Source organism: Homo sapiens, chromosome 5 (genome assembly GCF_000001405.40).
Source record: "Homo sapiens chromosome 5, GRCh38.p14 Primary Assembly".
NCBI classification, from domain to species: domain Eukaryota; kingdom Metazoa; phylum Chordata; class Mammalia; order Primates; family Hominidae; genus Homo; species Homo sapiens.
The window spans coordinates 70581458-70608717 of NC_000005.10; the positions used below are offsets into that span (position 1 = coordinate 70581458).

At 34.1% G+C, this 27260-nt stretch overlaps 1 long non-coding RNA gene and 1 pseudogene across 2 annotated transcripts in view; one reads left to right on the forward strand and one right to left on the reverse strand.

Annotated features, from left to right (window-relative positions):
* Nucleotides 1-4265, reverse strand: part of GUSBP15 (GUSB pseudogene 15) — a 104680-nt pseudogene extending 100415 nt beyond the window's left edge. The window contains exon 1 of the transcript NR_034021.1: nt 4162-4265. The product of NR_034021.1 is annotated as a GUSB pseudogene 15 (transcript). The remainder of the gene's footprint in view (nt 1-4161) is intronic.
* A 457-nt stretch (nt 4266-4722) lies between these two features.
* LOC105379020 (uncharacterized) lies at nt 4723-16707 on the forward strand. The gene is made up of 3 exons (XR_948429.3): nt 4723-4992; nt 6577-6627; nt 16341-16707. It is a non-coding gene; the product is annotated as an uncharacterized LOC105379020 (long non-coding RNA).
* The last annotated feature ends 10553 nt before the right edge of the window (nt 16708-27260 follow it).

A 27260-nucleotide genomic window follows, 5' to 3' on the forward strand; every position in this document is an offset into this window, starting at 1 on the left:
AAAATAATCCTCAGAGAATACTAGGAATAACTCTAGACACAAAAATTAGAAAATCTAGAGGAAATGGATAAATTTCTGAAAACAGGCAATCTTCCAAGATTGAATCAGGAAGATACTGAAATACTGAAGAGACCAATATGAAGCTCTGAAATTGAATAAGTAATAAAAAATCTACCAAGCCAAAAAGCCCTGGACTATATGGATTCACAGCAAAATTCTACCGGAAGTATAACGAAGAACTAGTACAATTCTACTGAAACTATTCCAGAAAAGTTGAAGAGAACGTACTCCTTCCTAACTCACGCTGTGAAGCCAGAAGCAGCTTAATACCAAAACCTGGCAGAGACGCAAAAAAAAAGAACATTCAGGTGACCACTGTTGACGAACATAGACTCAAAAATTCTCAACAAAGTACTAGCAAACTGAATCCATCAGCAGCATATCAAAAAATTAATCTACTATGACAATACAGGCTTTATTCCTGGGATGCATGGCTGGTTCAACATATGCAAATCAATAAATGTGATTCACCAGATAAACAGAATTAAATCAAAAACCATATGATCATCTCAATGGATGCCGGAAAAGCTTTCAATTAAATCCAGTGTCCCTTCATGAAAAAACAAAACAAAAAAAAACCCTCAACAGTTGAGGCTTCAAATAAGCATACTTCAAAATAAAAAAGAGCTATCTACAACAAACCCACAGCCAATATAATACTCAATGGGCAAAAGCTGAAAGCATTCTCCTTTAGAAATGAAACAAGCCAAGGACATCCACTCTTACCACTCCTATTCAACATAGTACCAGAAATCCTAGTCAGAGCAATCTTGCAACAGAAAAAGAGAAAAGCACCCAAATAGGAAGTGAAGATTAAGGCAAACTATCTGTCTTCACCCAACAATATCATTCTATACCTAAAAAACCTTAAAGACTTCAACAGAAGTCTACTAGAAATGATAAAGGATTTTAGCAAGGTTTCAGGATACAAAATCAATGTACAACAATTAGTAGCATTTCTATACAACAACAACATCCAGGTTGAGAGTTAAATTAAGAACACAATCATATTTACAACACCTAGGATGAAAATAAAATCCCTGCAAATACAACTAACCTAAGATGTGAACGATCTCCACAAGGAGAATTACAAAACACAGCTGAAATCTGAAGCTGGATGCAGTGGTTCATGCCTTTGGGAGGCCGAGGCAGGTATATCGCTTGGACCCAGGAGTTTGAGACCAACCTAGGCAACATAGTGGAACCTCATCTATACAAATTTTTTTTTTTTTTTTAAATAGCGAGGCATGGTGGCACATGCCTGTAGTCCTAACTACCCTGACGGCTTGAGGCCAGGAGTTCAAGCCTGCAGTGAGCTATAATGACTCCACTGCATTCCAGCCTGGGTGAAAGGGTGAGACTCTGTCTCAAAAAAGGAAGGAAATAAGAAAAGGAAGGAAGGATGGAAGGGAGGGAGGAAGGGAGGGAGGGAGGGAGGGAGGGAGGGAAGGAAGGAAGGAAGGAAGGAAGGAAGGAAGGAAGGAAGGAAGGAAGGAGATTTTGATAACACAAATAAATGGAATAACATTCCATGTTTACAGATTAAAAGAATCAATATTGTTAAAATGGCCACACTGCCCAAAGCAACTTGTAGATTCAAGGCTATCTCCATGAAACTACCAACATCATTCTTCACAGAATTAGAAAAAACTATTCTAAATTTATATGGAACACCCCCAAAAGCCAGAATGGCCAAAGCAATTCTGAGCAAAAATAATAAAGCCAGAGAGGCGTCATACTACCCAATTTCCAGCTATACTATAAGTGTACACTAACCATGATACTGTTACAAAAGCAGACACTTAAGCCAATGGAACAGAATAGAACACTCAAAAATAAAGCTGCACACTTACCACCATCTGGATCGTGGACAAGGCCAACAAAAACAAACAATGGGGAAAAGGCACCCTATTCAATAAATGGTGCTGGGATAATTCGCTAGCCATAAGCAGAAGAGTGAAACTGGATGCTTACCTTCCACCATACACACAAATTAATTCAAGATGGATTAAAGGTTAAAATGTAAGACTTCAGATTATGAAAACTCTAAAACAAAACCTAGGAAATATTTTTCTCGACATTGGCCTTGGCAAATAATTTTTGGCTAAGTTTCTAAAAACAATTGCAACAAAAACGAAATTGACAAGTGAAAGTCAATCAAACTAAAAAGCTTCTGCACAGCAATAGAAACTATCCACAGAGTAAACAGACAACTTACAGAATGGGAGAAAATATTTGCAAACTATGCATCTGATAAAGATCTAATATAACAAATCCATAAGGAAGAAAAAATGACAAGCATAAAACAACCCCAGTTAAAAAGGGCAAAGCTAATACAGGAGCAGAAAATCAAACTCCGCATCTTCTCACTTATAAGTGGGAGCTGAACAATGGGAACACATGGACACAGGGAGGGGAACAACACACAATGGGGAACAACACACAACACACACTATAATTTTCTGTAGGGGGTTGAGGAGAGGGAGAGCATCAGGAAAAATAGCTAATGCATGCTGGGCTTAATACCTAGGTGATGGGTTGATAGGTGCAGCAAACCACCACCACACACGTTTATCTATGTAACAAAACTGCGCTTCCTGCACATGTACCCCAGAACTTAAAATTTAAATCAAGAAAAGGCAAAGGACATGAACAGATATTTTCTCAAAAGAAGACACTCAAGTATATGAAAAAACACTCATCCTTACTAATCATCAAATAAATAAATGCAAGCAAAAACCACAGTAAGATGCCATCTCACATCAGTCACAACAGCTATAATTAAAAAGTAAAAAAATTAGATGTTGGCCAGGCTGCAGAGTAAAGGGAATGCTTATACACTACTGTTGATGGAAATGTAAACTGGTTCAGGTACTGTGGAAAGTATTTTGGAGATTTCTCTAAGAACTTAAAACAGAGATACCCTTCGACCCAGCATTCCCATTACTGGGTATATATTCAAAGGAAAATAAATTATTCTACCAGAAAAATATATATGCACTCGTACGTTCATCAGCATGTTATTCACAATAGCACAGACATGGAATGAACCTAGGTGCCCATCAAAGGTGGATTGGATAAAGAAAATGTGGTACATATACACTATGGAATACTATGCCTCCATAAAAAAGAATGAAATTATGTCCTTTGCAGCAACATGGATGGAGCTAAGGACATAATCCTAAGCAAATTAGTGCTGGAAAAGAAAACCAGATACCACACATTCTCACTTATAAGTGGAACCTAAACACTGAGCACACAGGAACATTAACATGGGAACAAGACATGCTGCAGGCTATGGGGGTGGGGGAGAGAGGGGAGCATGGGCTGAATAACTACCTACTGGGTACTATGCTCACTACCAGGGTGCACTGTACAAAAGTAACAAATCTGCATATGCACTGTGTCTGGAAAAAACTGAAATTATAAAAACCAAGAGAATATGTTTCTAATGAATGTAGACTTTATTTGATGGACTGGACTAGAATATAATATTTTTTTAAGGGGAAAGGCATTGGGGGATGCACAATGTCTACAGGTTTCTAAACCTCTCTGGTTTCTCACCTAATTCATAGTCTCTTATGTCATTTTCATAGTTTTCATATTCTGCCTTTCCACCTCTTCTTTTTAACAAGTAAAATTCCTCATAGCATACAAAAAAACAATTTTATAAAAAACCCATATTATAGATCAGGGACCTGTGGATTATATGCTATTAGAACTATACAAAATGTCTCTATATAGTTTTCTGTATCTTTGGAATATCTTTGGGTGAAGCTGCAGACCTTCTTGGTGAGTGTTACAGCTCTGCGCAGAGCCAAACAGTGAGCAGCAGCAAGACTGCAAAGAGCAAAAGAACAAAGCCTCCACACTGTGGAAAGGGACCCTAGCACGTTGCTGTTGCTGGCTCTGGCAGCTGCTTTTATTCCCTTATCTCACCCCACCCACATCCTGATGATCGGTCCATTTCATAGAGAGCTGATGGGTTCATTTTACAGAGAGCTGCTTGGTCTGTTTACAATCCTTTAGCTAGACACAAAAGTTCTCCAAGTCCCCACCAGATTAGCTAGACACAGAGCACTGATTAGTGCGTTCACATACCTTGAGCTAGACACAGCATGCTGATTGGTGCATTTACAATCCTCCAGCTAGACGTAGTAAGTTCTCCAAGTACCCACCGGACTCAGGAGCCCAGCTGGCTTTGCCTAGTGCATCCCGGCCGCGGGCGGAGCTGCCCGCCAGTCTCTGGCGCGCTGCCGCACTCCTCAGCCGTTGGGCGGTTGACGGGACCGGGTGCCGCGTAGCAGGAGGTGGCGCCCGTCCCCTCGGGGTGGCGCGCGGGAGCCTGCGGTTGGGGGGCGGGGGGCGGGGGGCAGGGGACGGGGGCGGGGAGGAGGGTGAGGGCTCCAGCATGGCAGGCTGCAGGTCCCGAGCCCTGCCCCCTTGCCCCGCGGGGAGGTGGCTGAGGCCCAGCGAAAATTCGAGCGCGGCGCCGGCGGGCCATCACTGTTGGAGGACCCAGTGCACCCTCCGCAGCTGCTGGCCCGGGTGCTAAGCCTCTCACTGCCCAGGGCCGGCGGCGCCAGCCGACCGCTCAAGAGTGCGGGGCGCGCCGAGCCCGCGCCCACCCGGAAGTCGCGCCGAGCCCGCGCCCACCCGGAAGTCGCGCTGGACCTGCGAGCCCCGCAGGCAGCCCAGGTTCCGGCCCGCGCCTCTCCCTCCACACCTCCCCGCCAGCAGAGGGAGCCCGCTCAGGCCTCAGCCAGCACAGAGAGGGGCTCCCACGGTGCAGCTGCGGGCTGAAGGGCTCCTCAAGCGCGGCCAGAGTGGGCTGAGGCCGAGGAGGTGCCGAGAGCCAGCGAGGGATGCCAGCAAGCTGTCACCTCTCAGAAATACAGGAAGAACATCAATAATGTTCGAAGTTATAAAGTAGTAGGTTTCTATCAAGAGTAAAACATAAACGAAGTTATAAAGTAGTAGGTTTCTATCAAGAATAAAACATAAACGATCAAAGAATTCCTTATAAAAACATTTTTTATTTCTAGGAATCAAAACATAAATATAAAATTTGAGAGTCCACCAAAAAAAATTAGATGCCAGATTTCACTATAATTATCAGGGAAGCGCCCAAATGGGTTGTTTACGGCGCCTCGGGGAAACTTTCTGTTTCGTGTTAAGGGTCTTGAACCATGATGTTTAGAAAACCATGGGCTGATGCTTTCAGAACCTCTGTGATTTTTGCCTCCGACACTGCATCCAATAGACTAGCATGTTGATTAGGGAAAGCTAAATTCAATAAAAGACGACTGTAGGTGGGGTCACCACCTTGAGGGGTCATGTTAGAAAAGTAGATGATAAGGTGGTATTGATAGAGTATTGAAGTCTGGGCTCAAATGGTTGCCCGGGGCCTTTCAAGACCAATGACTGATAAGAATAGGTAATGTTCAGGACATAGAGTTTAGGATTGGGGGACACTGTGAGTTAAGGGCCATGACAGAAGTCTTCATAAGTAAACTGTTAATTGACACAAGCTGCTACCTGCCCAGGTGAGCAATCTGTTGGCCCAGAGGAGAGTTGCTTACTGACATAAATTGATTTGCAGAAATTTCCTGAAGCAAACAATAAGTTATTTATTGGTTTGCAGCCTTACTTTCCTGAAAAATAATTTTCTGGAATGAATTGTGAAATCATGTTGACACAGATGGCCTCAGGTTTCAGTTCGGATAATTAAGCTGTGTAAATATAGAAAGTCGAAGGTTTCTGGGTGCTGTTGATTCACAGTATGCAACAATGATCATATTACTTTTATTTACTATGAGCTTCAGCTGAAAATCCAAAAGAAACTTTAATTTCAGATATTTAATGAAATCATTATAGCTGTGGTAATTTCCTTTAGCTGGGTGTGAGTGTGTGATGTGAGCGTGTGATTGTGTGTGTGTGTGTGTGTGTGTGTGTGTGTACTCTGGCAGCATATTCCAAATAATTTCTGTAAAATTTCAGTTTGAAATTAATAGAAGACATATTAAATTGTTTAAACTCTTTGTTATTTAAATTCTATATTACTTTAGTCGATTACTCTGTATTATTACGGCAAAGCTTTGATATGTTGCCCTGAATTTAAAGAAAAGGCTGTTCGGCCTAAAAACAGGAATATTTTATTACCAAAAAGAATTAACTACCATATGTCATTTACAGAAAAGAGTAAATTCTTCAGGGCATAGAAAATACACATTTCCTTCTGTTTGTGTGGAAATAAGCAAAATACCTGTTATAATAGATTCCTCACAGAATTTTGTGAAGCTTCAGGTAAACTTGAAAGAGAAAAATTAAAATGCTAGAGTTTCATAATTACAAATTGGGATATAAAAATAGAATAATTATTTGAATTTTGTATTTCTCTCCAGGGGATCAAAAGTAATATATAAACTTTTAATAAATATTGATATAGCTTCACGTTGACTCCATATGTGAGCAATTTGCTTTCTGTTAAATTCACAATTGCATAATTTTTTTCAGGCTGGAATGCACTTGGATGCCAGAGATTTTGATTTCTTCATGTGAAATAAGGTGATAATACATTCCAAAGTATATATTTTTTCAACTTTGAATATATCTGGTGTATTTGGAGTAATATCTGAGTAAATACACTTATATGTAAGAGAATCAAAGGAACAAGATATTATTTTATATCCAAGGAAATTAACACTTAGAACATAAATACGTATTGCATTACTTCATATTAAAGAAATGTTTTACAAAAGAAAATAAAGGAGCTTATTTTATAGCCCCATTTCCACAAATAATAGCAAAGGTACATACACATATCTAATGTTTTACACACTCATTATTGTTTCTCTTAAAATTTGTTGCTTATACTATTTTAAAAGGCAAGCCTATAGATTGTTGTGTGTATATACATATACACACAACATACATATATGTGTGTGTGTGTGTGTGTGTGTGTATATATATATATATATATATATATATATATCAGCAAGCAAGAGAATGGGCCTCTTCCTGCTGAGGTTTAACATTTGCATGTATATGTATATTTTGATTCACATAGACTTATTGTTCTTTAATTACATGAACAGTGATTCCTGGTTACATTATTGGAAAATGGAAGCAATGCTCAAAGAGCATCACCTAAATTTCCATCATATTTTGCTCTCAATATATTTTGTACATCCAAATATATTGTGATTAATCTGCATACATTTTTGCTGTTCTAGGTGACGCTGGTATGAGGCTAGGTAATACACGACCTTAGTCTGCATGTTGTACTTGTGTAACACACATAATTTTACAGTGCTAACAGGTGCTATAATAACTAACTATAGTTAATGATGAATGAAAGAAGGAAGATGTTAAGATGTTAGGGAAGGACTCAAAAGATGCAGTGCTTGAGTTAGAATTTTAAGGGAGATTATGCAAAAGCAGTCACTTAAGGTGGGTCGGGATGATCTAGAATGTGGGAATGATGTATGCAAAGTCACACAGGAGAGATACAGCATGCATGTTTAGAAAATTGTTGATTACATATGGAAAGTTTGCAGGACTTGCATCCTAGAATGTCAGGATTTTAAGCTAAGTAGGGTTCAAATTAAATTTTTCACATACTTCGCTGCATTATAATAACTAGTTTATGTTTAACTCATCCACTAAACTAAGTTATTTGAAAAGAGATGCCAGTGTTCACTCAATCTAGTTGTCTGTCATTAATAATTTAAAAATAATTGAGATTTTAATTTTGGTCTGCTAAGCCTGTTTAATTAAAATTTGACGTTAAATAAGATTTTACAGGCCTCATTTTTTTTTCAGTCATCACAGTTTGAATATTAAACATTACTACTTTTATCTCCCTCAGTCAGCATAAAACATACTACTTATGGTTTTAATAACCAAATTCAATGAGCACCAACAAAATTTGATGTAACTATTAACTTTGAAATTTTGTTGAAATAGAACTATGCCTTGGGTATCATTCAAAGCATTTAATTGTTGCAATAAAAAACTTTGAGATAAATTGAAATGATGGACAATATGGGTCGAAAGCAACACTGGCTTGAGGGAATAGGCTAATGTTTGAGAACAGAATTGTTAAGGACAAGATTGGATGTTTATATTATTTTAGGAAAGATACACTCTAATGGAGTTTAATTCTAAAATGTTTAATATTATGAAAATATTATATGTTATATGATCATTATAGAAAATTAAAAATATAAGAACATCAGAAGCAAAATAGTCAAAGTCTACCTAAACCCAATTAGAAGTGAATACTATTAATCTTGATTTGCATGTTTCTAATCTTATTATTATCAAATTAATAAACAGCTTTCAGATATTCTGCTTCTCCCTGTTACTAGATCAGGATAATGTCATTTATGTACAGGCATCTCCTGCTTACTCAGTTCAGCATTGATCAATAAATATTTTAGACTTCCATTCAAAACACTTCCATTTTTCTTTTGCCCATATTCTTTTTATTCAGTGCTGCCTGTTTTCAAATACATAACACTTTGTCAAACAAATTCCAACATTAGATTGGATATAGTTGGTATCAAAGTAGTAATACACATTGCCATTCCTAATCCTCAGTGCATTGATCCTGAAAATTATTTGTAAGAATAGAAAAATACTGGATATTTCAAATTAAGTCTCATTTTGTTGCTTACCCATGAAAGACTGGAATTAACCAACATAACCATTACAAGGTGATTGAGCAAATGAATAGATGGAAAATATTATAGAAACTTTACTGCAGTTCATCAACCATTGTGGTCATTAGGCCGTAGGAAAATACAGTGTGACAGTACCCCTGTCTTCTTTTCCATTTGTTAAGTCTCATATCCAAGTAACAGTGGGTAGACCTTATGAGAACCCAAAGTGAGATAAAAATAATTTTTGGCTTTTCAATGTATCTTATTTGATCTAAGAGGTATTTCCCCGACTTTGATGCAATAATTCTTGTCACAAAATTTGACTTTACTGAAGACCGTTTTAAGGATCTTTGCAGCTGACAGCAGTGACTTTTTTACCTCCTACAAAGTTTCAACTGACAGTCTTATTGTCTCTGACTTTCCCAAATTAATGACATAATTAGTCACCAGGGCTTTGGCTGCTCAATAGGGATTTAGTAAGCAATGAGTCATATGTTGGGGAACACTTCAACAAACAAAATGTTGGCAGAGAAAGATGTATGAATCAGCTAGGAAGAAACACTATTCTATCACTGAGGATCTTTCTAATATTAGATATCACAGAAAAATTTTCATATAGATTACCATACGAGTGAGCCAAAACCTCTAGGAACAAAAAAGCTTAGTATAATTATAACTCCTTGCCATGATTTAACTTAAAATTTCTTTACTTATTTAGCAATTCTATAAACAAGAATCATTTCTGTTAAGGATACTAAGGAGAGTGTTCCTATTGAATCAGAACATTTAAAACAAATAATTGAGGGAACTCACACATGTAAAACGTCATTAACCAAACTAAAATAAAATGTGAGGGCATAAACTTAACCAGAAATGTTTAAAACCTATATATAAAAAAAACTAGAAAACACTTCTGAATGGCACAAATTTGGACTTGAGCACGGGGAAAGAAATTCCATGCTCTTGAAAAAGCCTTAAAATCATAAATGTGCCAGTTCTTTAAATAAACTTATATCTTCTGTGTCATAACAAAACGACATTTTCTAGAATTTCTTTTTCCAGATTTAGAAAAATAGACAAATTTACTTGGAGGAATAAAGAAGCAAGAATAGCTAGAAATATCCTATAAAATCAATGGAATTTGGAGTCAATACAAAATATTAAGCAATTCTTAAAGCTTCTATGATTAAAATGAGTTATAACTACAGATAGATGAAGATCATATAGAAAATCAAGACATTGACAGATATGGAAAGGTGGTATATAATGAAAACATTTCAGATCAATGAGGGGGAAATGTTAACCGGAAAAGAATATTAAAAAGGCAATGAACTCAATAAGACAACAAGAAGCAAACCACAGAAAAATAACTGGACTGGATTAGAAAGAAAATATCTTAGACACTTCAAAAATAAAATATTCAAATAACCAATGAACTTATTAAAAGGTTTTTATTTATATTGGTTACCTGAAAAAATAATTCAAACCACAATGAGATGTAAGTACTTGTCATTCAGAATCCTGAATTTGAAAGGAATATTTTAGAATTCTAAGTTGAAGAGAAAGTGCAAAGTATTGATGAGAATGTTGACTAATTAGAACACTCAAATTGATGTTATTGGCATAACTTAGTTCAAATAATTTGGATAAAGATATGTATTAGGCCCCAAAATTCTACTTGTAAAGATGGTTTCTCCAGAAATGCATGCATATATATAGCTAAAAAAAAATGTGTACTCATGAAAACACTTTTCAGAATAACACCAAAATAACCCCAAACTGTGGCCCAAAAGTGGACTAAAATACTTATAAAGAGTACAGTAAACAAATAAGTTGTAATATGATCACCTAATAAAATATTAGAGAAATAAATATAAATAGTTTCATTTGCAGGTCATATAGTCAATTCGTCTCACAAATATAATATTAAGCAAAAAAATGTGGTTCAAAACACTACACACACTATTTGATTCCTTACTGGTAAAAGTTAGAATAGTGTTATGTTAGGAGGGATGGGTGGAAATCAGGTGTGTGACTATTACATTTTCTTATTCTGGATGATCATAGTATTTTAAAACTCACTAAGCTTTAAACTTATGTGCATTTACCCATGTGTATACAATACTTTAATAGAAGCTTCAAATCAATGAGAAAACATGAAACTGTCTGATGGAAAAATAGCTTGAGGAAATGAACAGGTATGGCAGAAAAGAAGGGCTGCATATAGTTTAAAAACTTGAAGAGATGTTTAATCTCTTTGCAAATAGAAAAACATACGCATTTAAATTGAAATACCATTTTCATGTTCCAAAATTAAAATTATTAGAAATATGATGGTAAACAGTGATGGTAATATGGGAGAAAGGAAACATCCTAGGCAATTTGGCTAAGCTTTTCTGAGAAAGATTTAGGCAATATGCCATTAAAAGATTTAATGTGAACAAATGGGAAATTTGCCCACATAAATAAATGGAAAGATACTCTATTTTTCCTAATTTAATCTGAAAATACCTAAGCCCCTGATATTTTTCTAAAAACTGGAATGTCCCTGTGGTCATTGGGTTTTAGAGACATAATTTTCACTGCGATGGTCATAATTTTAAAAGGTTGCATCATCCATTTTTAGTTAACATATATTGTACTAACATCACATATCTATGTAACAGAAAAATAGAGTCAACTCATGTAGGGACAGACATGAAAATGACAAATACATATAGAGATAGAAAGGTATCTTGTGCATTATACTGAGAAAGACAATAGAAATAAACAATTTACATGGGTTGATTTATTTTGATTAAGATATATAAGTGGTTAGATAAATGTTAAATAGGTCAGTATGTAATTACAGAAAATGACAAATTGTTATGTATGGTACATTTGTAGGCATAACACAGACATTACATTTTGGAAAATTGTGTTCTATGCAACAGTGCCAAGTCTAATGAAAGTAAGAGGAAGAGGAATTCAGCCAAAGTACCAACCCCTGTTATCCATTCCTTAAGAAAGGAACTTCTTTATACACTCAAAAGAGGGGATTCTTTTTAAATTTGTTTCCAGAGGGGCATCTGCATACACATACACATACACATACACACACACACACACACACACACACACATTTACATTATATTTAAATGTGTGTGCATGATATATATATATACATGTATTTATTTATTTAATATATATGTGTTATCTGGGTCCTATATAGGAACACACACACACACACACACACATTTTGAATCAAACACTCTTTCGTATAATTTTGGTGACAAACGTATGCAATAAATGAGAATACTTTAACTTTCCAAAAAGCTATTCAAAAGTATAATTTTCAAATAAAATATATGTTTGTATGACAACAAATGATTTTTTACAAATAATATATTCTGCATTATCAATCTGCCACTGGTTTTTATTAAATAAAAAAACCTGTAAGTTTGTATGCTCTTAAAATACATATAACATTTGTAAGAATAGTTTTTGTGTAAAAATAATTATAGTTCACTATAACTATGTTAAAAATAGACATAGCCAGGCAAGTCGCTCATGCCTGTAACCCAGCACTTTGGTAGGCTGAGGCGGGCAGATCACTTGAGGCCAGGAGTTCAAGACCAGTCTGGCCAACATAGCGAAACCCCATCTCTAATAAAAATACAAAAATTAGCCGGGCATGGTGGCCCATACCTTGTAATGCCAGCTACTCAGGAAGCTGTGGCAGGAAGATTGCTGGAACCCGAGAGGCGGAGTCTGCAGTGAGACAAGATCATGCCACTGCACTCCAACCTGGGTAACAGAGTGAGACTCTGTCTCAAAAAAAAAAAAAAAGAAAAGAAAAGAAAAGAAAAGAGAAAAATAGACACAGATGAAGGGTGTCTTTGATTATGCAAATAGATTACCCATCTTGTACTCACTGTGTTTATTTCAATAAATGATCCACAGAATATGCTACTTTTGATTTATAGTTTTCTTCTCCTTCACCGCTGTGGACTGGGAAAATATTTCTTATTATTTCTGCTGCAGAGTAGCAAAAAATTATGAGCCAGAAGGAAGACCACTACAACAAGCAAAATCTCTGAGTAATCATAAAATGAAGAACTATTTCCTGTTGGGATTCACTGTGACGAATTTGATTTTAAATTCTTGATGTTGGCATTTTATTTTTAAAACTTAGCTTTCTTGCCTATTCTGAAATTGTCAAAAATTCAGAAAAACAATCATGATCATTTGCTTGCTGACCAGTGGAGACCTACTGATTTTTAGGCTGTGAGACTACAGTAATAAATAAATAAAAAAGTTCATACTTCCTTCTATCGAGGGAAATTGAGCATTTTTCTCATAGTCCTAAATCACCAGATCAAGGGATATATGTAATACTTGAGTGTTGACATTTTATTAATTTTTATATTTAACTAGAGCTGTAAAGTTGAAACAAATGGGTCAATGCAGTAGCCCATAAAATATTTTAAAAACACATAAAAGAAATATCACTAAAATTTAAACATAAAAAAAATACAAAAAAACCCTGAGCTATAGGAAGGGAAGTATCCTCTAAATGCCCAAGTTGAAGGTAGTCCTCTTAGAAAGGCACAGTAAGAAGCAGTGTTTGATGGGAACGTGATTTTTCAAGTATTTGAATTTTCAAACTCACCACATTAACTGAGTAAAATGAAAAAAATATATAAACTTCCTCTGAGGCAGAAAAAACATTTGGCATTTTCAAGATAGAATTATAATAAAAATATCTCGCCCCAATAGAATACAAAGAAGCATCCTTAAGCAAATAGAAGGCATCTACGGAAATATCACACTGAAGTGTGAACTAATAAATTATTCATTTAAGATCCAGAAGAAGACAAAGTGTCCTCTTTCACTATTGTTCTCTCTACTGTATGGGAGGAATTAACCAGTGAGACAAATCAAATAAATAAGTAAAACATACACAGTTAAGAAATGAAAAATACACTTCTAAATTTTTAAACAACTCCATTACCTACACATAAACTTCTAGTGACTGTAAAAATCAGCTGCTGGAATAAACTAGTAATTTTAGCCACATCATAGAAAAAATAAGTCAACCCATTAACTTATTTCTATATATTTCCAATGAGCAATTAATGATAAAAATCAAATCCATGTAAAATACTAATAAAAATAAAATATGTATATATGATTTTAACAAATTACATGCAAGATCTCTCTAAATAGGAAACTAGCAAAAGTGTTGGGAGATGTAGGAAAGTTCTAAATAAATGGAGTCACATACAATAATTGATGGTTTTGATGTGTGTCCCTGCCCAAATCTGGTATGATGTAATCTCCAATGTTAGAGGTGAGGCCTGATGGGAAGTGATTGGATCATGGGGTGGATTTCTCATGAGTGGTTCAGCATCATCCCTCTTGATACTGTTCTCATAATAGTGAGTGAGTGAGTTCTCATGAGATCTGGTCATTTAAAAGTGTGTAGCAGCTTCCCCTTTCACTCTCTTGCTGTTCTGGCCATGTGACGTGCCTGTCCCCCTTTGCTTTCTGCCATGATTGTGCGTTTCCTGAGTCTTCCCAGAAGCTAAGTAGATGCCAGCATCATCCTTCCTGTATAGCCTGCAGAACAGTGGGGCAATTAAACCTCTTTTCTTCATAAATTGTCGAATCTTCTGTATTTCTCTATAGCAATGCCGGAACAAACTAATACAATAATCATGGCTTGAAAGTTCAGTGAATTTTAGTGTGTAAAAGGTTTTGGTTTTTCCAAATTAATCATTCTAGAAATCCTCACCATAATCACAAAAGATATTTTTATATAAATTGACACACTGATTTAAAAATGTACATCAAGAGAGCAAAAACAAATGATAGAAAGCTGAAAAAAAAGTTGGAATACTCACACTTCCTAACACCATGCAATAACTTAAAGCTATAGTCATCGAGAGAATGTGTTATTAGTAGATGGATAAACAATTAGAGTAATGGAATGGAATAGAGTTCACAAATAGATCCATGCTTATATGAATAATATAATATCAAAGATACTGCAGTTATTCAAAGGGGAAAGATAATTTTATTTAACAAAGTGTGCAGAACTACGAGATAAATGTGAAGAAAACAAACCTCAAGTCCTTCCTCACAACAAAAGCGTGAATGAGTTCAAAATTAAAGGAGTCCAAAATATATTATGGAACAATGTGTAAAAGTGAAAGCATAGGCTTCAAATATAAAGCACAGAAAATGTCTTAGTAAACTACATGAAAGCACTTCTTTTTATCCAAACTGTGGATACATTTCTTTTTATTCAGAAAGCAATAATTATATAATGATAAACTACAGAAATGTGTAAATATATTTATACTTTAATGTTTATTTTTAATTACACAATTATATATACTATTTATTATGAATAAGAGCAAGAATATATAAATATAATGTACAACATAGAAACAAGAGAGCTATAAAAACTAACAGATGCTACACAAAAATGATATAATAGCAAATAAGCAAAGGAAAAATTTCTTAATATCGTTAGTAATAAAAAATAAAATGAGATAATTATACACATCTACTAGAAAAGCTACTATTTTAAAAATTGTGTTACCAATATTTGGCATAGATGTCAAGAAACCAGACTCTAGAGTTTGCATACATCGACGGTGGGAGTGTAACACAGTACAGCTACTTTGGATAACTAAATCTACCTTACATGTACCAATTCTACCCCTAGGCATTTATCCTAGGGGGGAGAAAAGCATAAGTCTGTAAAAAGGCTTGCACAAGTACCTTTATTCATTATTGTCAAAAACAGACACCATGCAACTGTCCACCAAGAGCGGCGTTCTCAAGTTCAGCACTATTAGCTGTTGAAGTGGCTTAATTCTTTGTTGTGGGGAGCTATCCTTTGTGGAACCCTGGCCTGTGGACACTCTATCCCCTCCTCCACAAACCTCTGATAACCAAAAGTGTCCCCAAACATTGGAAATGTCCCCGGCAGGTAAAATGTCCCTCATTTGAGAACCTCTGGTCAAGAGTTTAGTAAATAAATTATAGTGGTATGTCTATGAAATGAAATAATACGTAACAATAAAAAAAGGTGCTACTTCAACATGCAAGAAATTGTTGAATCTCAAAAATATTATGCTTAAGGAAAAAAGACAAAAAGAATTCATACTCTATAATTCTACTGATATATAATTGTAGAAAATAAAAGCTAATATATGGTAATAAAACCAGATTAGTACTGGATTGACAATGTGTTGAAAGTCAAAAGAAGAGGCTTGAGATCTCTTTCTAGTGTGATGGTTTTACAAGTATATACGTATGTTAATGTTTAAAAATTTCACACCTCAAAAATGTGCAGTATACCAGATGTTAATTATATCTCATAAAGCTATTAAAATTTTATCTCAAAATTATAGCTTTATTGCATTTAGGGCATTATCCAATTTTGAATCTAGTCCAGTTATCATAGCTTAATGCAGTATTATGAAAATAATGCCTATAAAGGTCCAGTTCCTCAAACACCCTTGGAACCAATTTTGTCATCTATATTAGTTACCTTGGGCTGCTATAATGAAGTACCACAAGCTGTGTGTCTTTAAGCAACAGAAATTTCTTCCCTCACAGTTGCGGAGGTCAGAGGTCAGAAAACAAGGTGTCTGCAGGACCAACCTCTCCTCTGGATGCTCTAGGTGAGAATCTTTTCCATGCCTTTCTCTTAGCTTCTGATGTTGCCATCAGAACTTCAGATGGTGTTCCTTGGCTTCTGTCAATATTAATACATAAATCCTTTTCAGTCTCAGCTTCTCTCTTCACATGGTCCTCTCCACATCCTATCTGTTTCTGTTCCCTCTTCTTATAAAGACAACCCATGTTATTTTAAGTCCCACCTACAGACATAATTTTAGCTTGATTACATCTGCAAAAACTTTGTGTCCAAATGAGGTTTCATTTACCTTATGTGTATAACTAGGGGTTAGGGCTTGAACATACGGGTTTGGGGAGGGGAACACAGTTCAGACCATGACACTCATTGTTTCACTCATTAATGAGTTAAGGGTGCTTTGATATTATTACATTTGAATGAGAGTGGTCTTTAAAATTACATTTTGTCGTGTAGTTTGTTCCACCCTGATGCTTAAAGGGAGTCACCTGCCTCAGCCAATTAAACTGTGTTGTCTCTGCAGTGCGTTTTATCACAAGAACATGACCTTCAAGCACAAGAACACCTTGTACTCCACCACTAAAAACAGAAATGACATCTACCTTCACTGCTTCCCTATTTCTCTCCATCTTTACTGACTTGGTATTTTGTTGTTGCTGTCATTTCTGGTTGTTGGTCAATTTTCATTTCTGTTCTTATTTTGCTGATAATTCTTATAAATCAGTGCTGAATTTTGTCAAATTATTTTTCTGCATCTCTACAGATGATCATTTTATGTTTTCGTCCCTGTGATAATTTAGTGAATGTCATTGATCAATTTTTAAATAATGAATATCTTTGCATTTAAGATAATATTTTTCACTATTAATGTTATCTCTGAAATGAAAGCTAAACCTAGTCAATAGATATTAGAGGTGCATGATTTTTAAAATTGTATAAAATTAGATAAAAAATACAAAGAAATATATATAATTTTAAAACTATGTAAAAATGTAAATGCCAAATGATAGAGCACTAAATGAAGCTTGTAATATTAAATACAATCTTTAGAAACTCTTTTGCAGTGCAGGAAAAAAATAGAACTGAAAACAAAGCAGAAGAAATCACAGATATAAAATTAAAGAGGATAGAATTAAGCACCTGAGTTCCCACATCTAAAGTGAAAATCTAAGAATTTAAATATCATTCAAATACAGACTAAAATACAATATAAAATAAAATTTCCTGAGCTAATTTTTAAAATACTGCTTAATTTGTAGGTAAAAATGCAGACTAATTTTCTGACTATATTACTATAAAAACCTTCTACAAATATTTTTTAACTAAAATTATAAGAAAAACATCCGCCATAAACACGTAAGATTAGTATTTTCGTTTCTGAAGTATAAAATGTCTGGATAGACTTGAGCTTGTTGCTTTAGTTTTATATGTGAAGACTGGAAAAATTCTGTTTTGTTTTGAAAAATATTTTGAGCTAAAAATGTTGTATTCCACATTTGTTAGGAATGGAAGTCTTTAAAATATGAAATATTTCCAATTGAAGAAAAATAGTGAAAATGAACTTTATCTGAATAAGATTAATGAAAATTACATGTTGAAAAAGTAAAATAGTTATGTGTACTAACAGTGACTACTAACCCAACAATATAAAATTAAGTAAAAATGTTATTACCATGTTAAATACAAATTAAAATTAATTATAAAAAAGTTAAGATCTATGATTAAAGTATTAAAATAAAATGAGACTGTATTCACAAATCTAAAAGCAAATTGGTGAATGACATATTTTTTGAAATAATAAATTCTTTGGCATATTTTATATTTTTTATTATAAATGAAAATTATTTATTTGAAATATTTAAAGGAACAAAATATTTGCAGCTCTATTTTATTGAGAAAGTAATTACAAAACAAAAACAAGGAGCTTTTGTAATTACAAAAGAATATATTAATAATATTATTTAGAAGCACAAAACCAGAAAAGCTTTATATTATTTCTAACAATAAATGTAAACCATCTAATTTTCTGAAAAGGGGTGGAAATAAATATTTAACAAAGAAGATATTATTCTTAAATTGTAATATGTACATTGCCTAAAAATAAAAAGGTAGTTGAAGATATATTGTGAACAACAAAAAATGAAGAGCTGATAATATTAATGTGCGAAGGAAACTCATAACATATTGTACTAATTATAAATCAGTGTATTGACAAAACCTGAGTCCTCAATTATTATTGACTGTCATTGACATGTTAATGATAGAATATTAAATATAGAATATAATAAAGCAATTTAGAATAAAAAAGAGAAAGCGATAGACATGAATAGAAACAAAATGCAACTGTTCAATATTAAAAGCCTTTCTAAATTGCTTGTGTTTTTCTAGTGACCTGTTTCGCTATGCAGTGTAGGCTCAGGTGTCTAGATTTTAGTTGCAGATAAACACAGGTAGTGTTTTCCAGATCTCAGAATGACCAGTTACATAAAAATAGGCCATAAACCATATATTTCATTCTTACGGTTGACAAACCTCTAATTCACCTGAAAATATTAAAAAGAAAGAAGACAGACGTGACAGTGGTTGGAAGTTGAGGATAAGAAGAAGTTGGCAGAAATAAGCTTTCTTCTTTTGGACAGCAATGCATGATAAAAAAAATTAAACTAAATTCAGTTCATTTCCACTAACTGGGACTTATTTAGAAACTTTAAGAAAGTCTGAAGAATTTCAATTGAGGAGTAAATAAGGGCCAATTTATTTCATAGTGTGGACTCTCAAGACAATATACAACAGTGCTTCTCAAGGTTAAACAGTGTATGAGTGACCTGGAAATGAAGATGCAGATTTAATAGGGCTGGAGAGAAGTCTGAGATTCTCAATTTCTAATGAATTAAATTACAAAGAGGAGAAAATAAGGTTATTGCTTACTTTATATACATTCACAAACACAGGCTAATCAAATAATTGTTTAAAGTATTGCTCTGATAAGAATTAAATTACATAGTTCATAGGAAACATTTTCTTTACATTCGGATTTTATCTATTATTAGAATAATAATAGAATCTTGACTTTATGTAACTCTATGTTCCAAACAACTAGAAACTTTTCGATAGCAATTGTTCACCATTTAATAACATTTTTCCAAGATACCTAATGCACTCAAGGACAAAATAGCTGCCTTCCAGTGATTTCCAATTTATTCAATTTTCAGGCCATCTGTCTGCCCACACAATGACAGATTATAGTTACATTCTTGCCATGCTCTGAACAGCTAAGCCAATTGTTTTCAATCTTTTTTCTTCAGCAACTCCATCTCTTAAAGTACTTCAGAGTAGTTCCTGAAAGGATTCCTCTTTAGTTAAATGGCTATACAGCTCTCCCATCATCCAAAATAATCAGTGGAGAGATAGCAATATTTTTCATTACATTAGGCCAAGTTCCATTGCTTCCTTCATCTTGTAATCTGATCAGAAACACCACTATAGATTCAATAATTGAGTTTAGAGTTTCAGAGAATTTGGGGTCACAGAACATCTATGTCTATTTTGTAAAGATTATTGCATATTACTGAAATAGCTTGTCAAACACTGCAGTCTGCTTAAAGTATCAAAATAGAAATGTTGAATGCTGTGTCTGCACAGAGTTCATTTAAGCAAAGAATCTACTAGGCTCTTAAGTCTGTTAATGCAAATTCCTGAATACAGCTGACCCTCCATACCCCCATTGTGGGTGGATTTAACTAACCATGAATCAAACATATTTGTTAAAAGAAATACCAAGAATAATTTTTAAAAAGAAATACAACAATAAAACAATGCAAATAAAAAACAATCCTTATAACAATTATGTGCATAGCATTTATATTGTATTCAGTATTATTAATGTAAGTAATAATCTGGAAATGATAGAAAGTATACAAGAGGGTTGTGTAAGTTATATGCAAATACTAGGCCATTTTATATAAGAAACTTGAGCATCTCTGGCTTTTGCTATGAAGGGATGATGGTGGTAGGATTGGTGGTGGTCCTGGAACAAATCCCCAGCAGGTACCAAGGGGGACTGTAGACCCCAAAGCTGTTTAGGAATGGGTCACAGCAGCAGGACTGAGGCAGGAATGCTCCCCACAGAAAACATCAACCACCTGTTGATTTTTGAATCTGCTCCTCTCAGGCATGCCTTCAAATGCTATAACCTGGAGAGTCAACTCATTTTCATGCTGCTAAGTAGGAATAGGTGATTCAATTCCCCAAGAAAGTGACAGAGGTCCCTGAAATATAGATTTAAAGTTACATAGTGTCAAATGCTAGTCATTTTCTTTTTGCTCGATGGTATCCTCTCAGAAAAACCTTTTATAATATTTCTAATTCATTTACCAGATTTATAGAATCATCAAATTGTCTATCCATGTGTTTTTCAAATATTTTGTGAAGTGTCTAGGGTAACAACCTAGTGTTCGAACGTATTTTGTGAAGTGGCTAGGGTAACAACGTAATGTTCGAACTTATGTTCGTATTTAAATACAAATGTATTTTGGTTGAGTGATTACTCAAGGTCACTGAGGAATCCACAAGGTTAACCTCCTGACTCTAGAACCATTGTTATATAGAGATATATAAATAGCTGATTTAATATTATAGGCTTAGCAAAATATTTAATAAATAAGGTCTTAGTAAAACAACACACATGTATTTATCCACTTATTTAATTTTGTTTTTCCATTTCTTCTGAACATAAGTTCCTGAGGACACGGGCCTTTTTTCACAGTTCATTTTTGGATTCCAACATCTAGCCAGTACTCTGCAAAGAGCACTGAATTTGAAAGAAATTTCTCAGTTAATGATTTGAATCATATAAAATATTTAGTAAATTTGAAAACTAGTAACCGTGTAAAGCGATTAAAACAAACATACTAGAGGGTAATAATCCCCCGCCCCTTGCCTTCTTCCTTTACATCCACTTCATTCTTATTCTTGTCTACTTCCCCTGCCCCACCCAGGGAACGTGGTTAGCCCATCAGCTGCAAAGATTGTTCTCATATAATATTGTTCTGATGGATAATGAGACTCTGAAAGTGGAACATAAACAGATAAAACAAAAACAAACAGAAAAGAACCCAAAAACCTAAACTCAACTTCAGTTAAAGCAGAAAATATCTGTCCAGCCTAAACCAGGCATACTCCACAGACTTCTGTTAGACGCCTGATCCTACTTCAGTCTGGAACCACCTAGTCTTCAGGTTTGCCTGGTGCTCACCAGCTGAAGAAATCCTTTAACGACCTTTATTCAGTCAAGTAAATCGTTTTCTTTTGGCAACTTGCATGTTATTTTTTAGGTTTTCATTTATTTATTTTTTTATATTTAAAGTCATATTTTCTTCCTTTTATTCACTTTGCTGGTCTTTCTCACTTTGATTTTTTTTTTTTTGCCTTGTTTTGCATTTGTTTACTTTAACATTTTTTGTAACTTATCTCTTTTATTTTGGAAATTATTCACATTATCAGTTTTCTTTTGCTAGGCAATTTTGATATTCTAATAAACATTATTAACATAAAATATAAAGTTTACTAACACCAAGCCCAAACAATACAAAGTCTTAGGGCTCTTTAATTGCAATTATTTAAAAATATTTGCTACAAATTGTTCATTATTTTATATTCATGTTGTTTTTCTTATTCCCACAAATCACATATTGTTGGTGTGTTTGTTAAATAAAATTGTGACTGCTTATATATGTTTTTTCACATCCTTTCTTCTTCTAATATTTTGGAATTTACATCCAGTTAATTATCCTTTATTCTATGGTACATACTGTAAAAGTTACTATTCTTGGTAGTAAACTCTCAGTTTTTGGATTGTCTGAAGATGTCTCTATTTTGATCTGCTCTTGAATTCTAAATCTAATTGACATAAAATTCTAGATTTGCCGTTATCATTTATTAGCACTTCAAAGATATTCCACAATTTTCTGACTTTCAATATTTTTGTTGGTAAAAATGGTGATTGTTAATTGGCTTGCATATTCTGTTTTGGATATTCCACTGTTTCCTTATAATTTGTTTATTTATAAGGAAACTTATAAACAAATTATAAGGAAACAATAGAATATCCAAAATAAAGAGAATAGTTATGGGTTCGTATAGATAATTCTTCAGAATCTACTAATTTGTGTCTTTCTTCTTTACTTCTGTAAACTTTTCAGCTACTATATATTAGAATATTTCTTAACTTTTTTATATTCATTCTGAAATTTCTTGCTGAAATTTGTTCAGAAGGTGAGTTAACGGAGCTATACATCTTTAGTGTCATGTGCTCTAAATTGCAAAATACATGTATTTTTATTTCAGACAACTTGAGTAACATTTGTGCAAATGTTTTATATACACGGACTTAATTTGGTAAATTTAGGCATGTGGTAGACAAATTTAAAAATGTATAAAAATCATGGGCAAGCATATGAACATTCTATTTTTGCTACTATAAAAAAATAGCAGACTATCCAACTATTTTATGATACTCAACGATACATCTTACTAAATGGTCACGACTCTTGCCTCTCAGGGTCAGAGTTTGCAATAGTGAAAGCAAGAGAAAGCCACGGAAAAAAAAACAGGGAGAGGGAAAATATTAAGCTCTAGAATATGTACATTGTTTTGCTTGTATAAATTTGGAACATTCAACACATGTTTACAATGAATACATATAAAATACCAATGACATGAGGAGAATTAGAATAGAAATAAATACAAGGATTCTTTCATGATAACTAAAAATATCAGTGAAGGTTTGTACATAAAATTTAGGGATTTTATATTATTACCTAATACAATTCTGGCTATAACATCACTAAAGGATTGTAAACGTCTGCTGGGAAACCTATGGGAAAAAAATGCAAGTGGAACTGGTGTCATACAAACACATTTTCTAATGGGAAGCTTAACTGGTGAAATGTAAGTTGGAAACGTTACTCAATTTAGGTCTATGAAAATGTTTTCCCAAATACAATCTTTTCTTGTTTGATAGGAGGTTTTACTGTGATGTATTATTTCTGACAGCCTCTTTTTTTTTTTTAAAAGCAAACGAGTAGAATTAAGTGAATTAATTATCATATCTAACCTGTAAGTACAAATTACTTTCCCTTGGAATTACATAATTGATAATTGTACATCCTCAGATGTGTTTGAATCTGAGATTTACTCTAAACTCAGAGGAAAAAAAGTGAAATTTTGTTTCCATTGTGACACCTTTGTTTCCTTTTTAAGTTTTCAAAATTTCTTAAAAATTATTTTTCCCTTTCATAATTTATTCAACAAGTATCTATTGTTAGGTGTTGGGAACACAAGACCTAAAACTCCTGACAAATATATTCTATTTCTGAGGTCAATTTGTACATTAATAAATGCATATATAATACCAGACAAGATTGTAATGCTAACCAGTTTGACTTTGAGGCACGGTATTCAGAATGTAAATGCCCCTGGAAAAAACATTGAATATAAATGCCCCTGGAGAAAGAATGTAGTTGGAAAAAACATTCTGAGGTAAAATTATGCAATATTGGTATGACTAATTAGAGTGACCAGAGGTTCACACATTTTTGTGACATGCCATTGGTAGAAAAAGAGCCATAGCTGAAAAAATATGGCAGTCATAAGATGTCAGTGGAAATGAAGACAAGGATACCTTTTGGTCAATTTTCTTGAAAATATTGGCTTTTTCAACAGTGTAGTTTATTTAAAATTTAGTCCCAGTTCTTAGCAATTATTTATATACTGATGGACTTATATCCAGGGTCTTCTTGAATTAAAAAAAGTCAAAAAATAATTTTATAAATTTAAAATATTATAAAATTATGATATATACAATTCTTGCTCTCTCTGTCATATTTTTCCAATTTTTTGTCTGTCTTGTTTTTTCTTGCCTTTTCTTCCCTGTCCTTTCCCTTTCGTTTCTTTTCTTTTTGTTTCCTTTGTCTGGCCTTGCTTTGAGTTTCTTTTCCAAACGAATTCACTGGAGGTGGTATTTTTATGCATAATATACACAGCAAATGTCTAGGGCCTCTCATTTTTTACAAATCTTTGTAAGAAAAGGCTATCTATTAACCCAATGACATTGTCATAACCTTTTCTAAATTTCAATGATATTCAGTTTCTCGCAGCTATTACATTACAAAGTATACCTCAGTAAAAATCTAGTAAGTCATAGGGCTGATGTTGCTGATTGCTCACTTGCTCAAGCCAGAAGCTTAGAATACATGCTTGATTCTTCACTTTCCTGTGGGTTTATGCCAAATCAATTTCAAATCTATAGATCTTATCCTCTAAATAACATACAGCATGCCTACTTTTTTCTCTCTCTCGACTACTGTCACATTAATTCAAAAGAAAAAGACTGATGATTCCTAACTTCCTGGCTTCAGTAATTGGCAACGATGACATCACTACTAAGGCTTCACTTCTCACCTCTGCTTCCATATGAGTGTAATGTTATTTTCTCCTATGACAGATAAGTTTATTTTTCACCATTAAAAGGTAAGAAACTCACTCATAACCAAAGTTGGAGGAGACAGTTATTTTTTTTCCCCAGCTTGCCTGTTAAAACCATAAGGAATGATTAATCTGCCATGGTGCTTGATGTGGCCCAGGGATGTGCTCAGACTCAGTCATGTAGGGGCAGGTGGTATTAACATTAGTTCAAACATGGAACCATGGCATGTGTTAGAAATAATGGCTTATATTAGAAACTGGACATAAAATTGTCGTGAGCAAGAAAGTTACCTCAATTTGAGTCTACTAGAAGTTTCAGAGTGCCATTTCACATGGCCACAAAGTTCAAAAGTTCCAAAAGAAGCAAAAGTTTGACCAAGAAATCAGTGATTTTTTAAAAAAGAGAAATTGAGCTCAATCATGTTTTTTATATCTTCTACTGTACTAAAAGTTTTTTTCTCAATAATTGACTAAAAGTTCATTAACTACTGCACAGACTTCAATATTTAGAAATGTAATACGGGCTTGCTAACTAAAAGTGAAGTTATTTTATTGTCGGAACTAGCTATTGTTAGAAAGACTCATTTGCTTTTTATAATACAATTTTACATATGATTTATAGATTGACAGATTATAACAATTTATAGATTATTACCTCATTAATTTATTGAATAACCTGACTAAATTACTTAGTCACTGAATTAAATACAACCCAGCCTTAATACTTTGGGTCAAGGAACATTGACCAAATATGTATTTATGCCACAGATTCCTTGAAATTTCTTACCAAAGTAAATTGTTTCATGAAAAATACAGAAATAAATTGGTAACTAAATAAAACATGTTCTATATTTCAACTTGAAAAATTAAAGAAATTAATAATTCTTAAAATCAAAGCAATGATCATTTGTTTCCTAATTATTATTATTGTGAATGTACTTAAAATTTTTGCTATGCTTTTAAGAAAGATGTACTTCTATTAAAAATTATTAAAATAAACAGCAGAGAGACTGACTTTTCAAAATAGTTTATCTGGGAAGAGCAATGAACTGCAATTTGGGATATGTGTACCGTACTGAACCATAGGCACATTTGAAAAAGCTGGGGGAGCCGAAGCTTTTTTAAGGGTAAAAGGTGAAGTTCCCCATCAAACTACCGTTGGCATTCTTCACAGAATTAGAAAAACCTATTTGAAATTTCATATGGAATCAAAGAAGACCCCATATAGCCAAGACAATCCTAAGCATAAAGAACAAAACTGGAGGCATCACACTACCTGACTTCATTACTGCAGGGCCTCAGTAACCAAAACAGCATGGAACTGGTACCAAAACACACATATAGACCAATGAAGGTGAACATAGACCTCAGAAATACACCACACGTCTACAACCACCTGATCTTCAACAAACCTGACAAAAACAAGCAATGGGAAAGGATCTCATATTCAGTAATAATGTGGGAAATCTGGCTAGCCATATGCAGGAAACTGAAACTGGACCCCTTCCTTACACCTTATACAAAAATTAACTCAAGATGGATTAAAGACTTAAATGTAAAACCCCAAACCATAAAAACCCTAGAAGAAAACCTAGGCAACAACATTCAGGACATAGGCATGGTGGGCAAAGAGTTCATGACAAAAATGCCAAAAGCAATTGCAACAAAAGCCAAAATTGACAATGGGATCTAATTAAACTAAAGAGCTTCTGCACAGCAAAAAAAAAAAAAAAAAAAAAAAAAAAACTATCATCAAAGTGAACAAGCAACCTACAGACTGGGAAAAAATTTTTGCAATCTACCCATCTGACAATGATCGAATATCCAGAATTTACAAGGGACTTAAACATGCTTACAAGAAAAAGACAAACAACGCTATCAAAAAGTGGGCAAAGGATATGAACAGACACGTCTCAAAAAAAGACATTTACGTGGCCAAAAAACATACAAAAGAAGCTCAACATCACTGATCACCAGAGAAATGCAAATCAAAACCACAATGAGATGCCATTTCACGCCAATTAGAATGGAGATTATTAAAAAGTCAGGAAACAATAAATACTGGAGAGGATGTGGAGAAATGGGAATGCTCTTACACTGTTGGTGGGAAAGTGAATTAATTCAACCATTGTGGAAGACAGTATGGGCATTCCTCAAGGATCTAGAACTAGAAATACCTTTTGACCCAGCAATCCCATTACTAGGTATATACCCAAAGGAATATAAATCATTCTACTGTAAGGGAACATACGTATATATATTTATTGCAGCACTATTTACAATAGCAAAGACATGGACCCAACCCAAATGCCCATCACTGATAGACTGGATAAAGAAAATGTGGTACACATACACCATGGAATACTACGCAGCTATAAAAAAGGAATGAGAGCATGTCC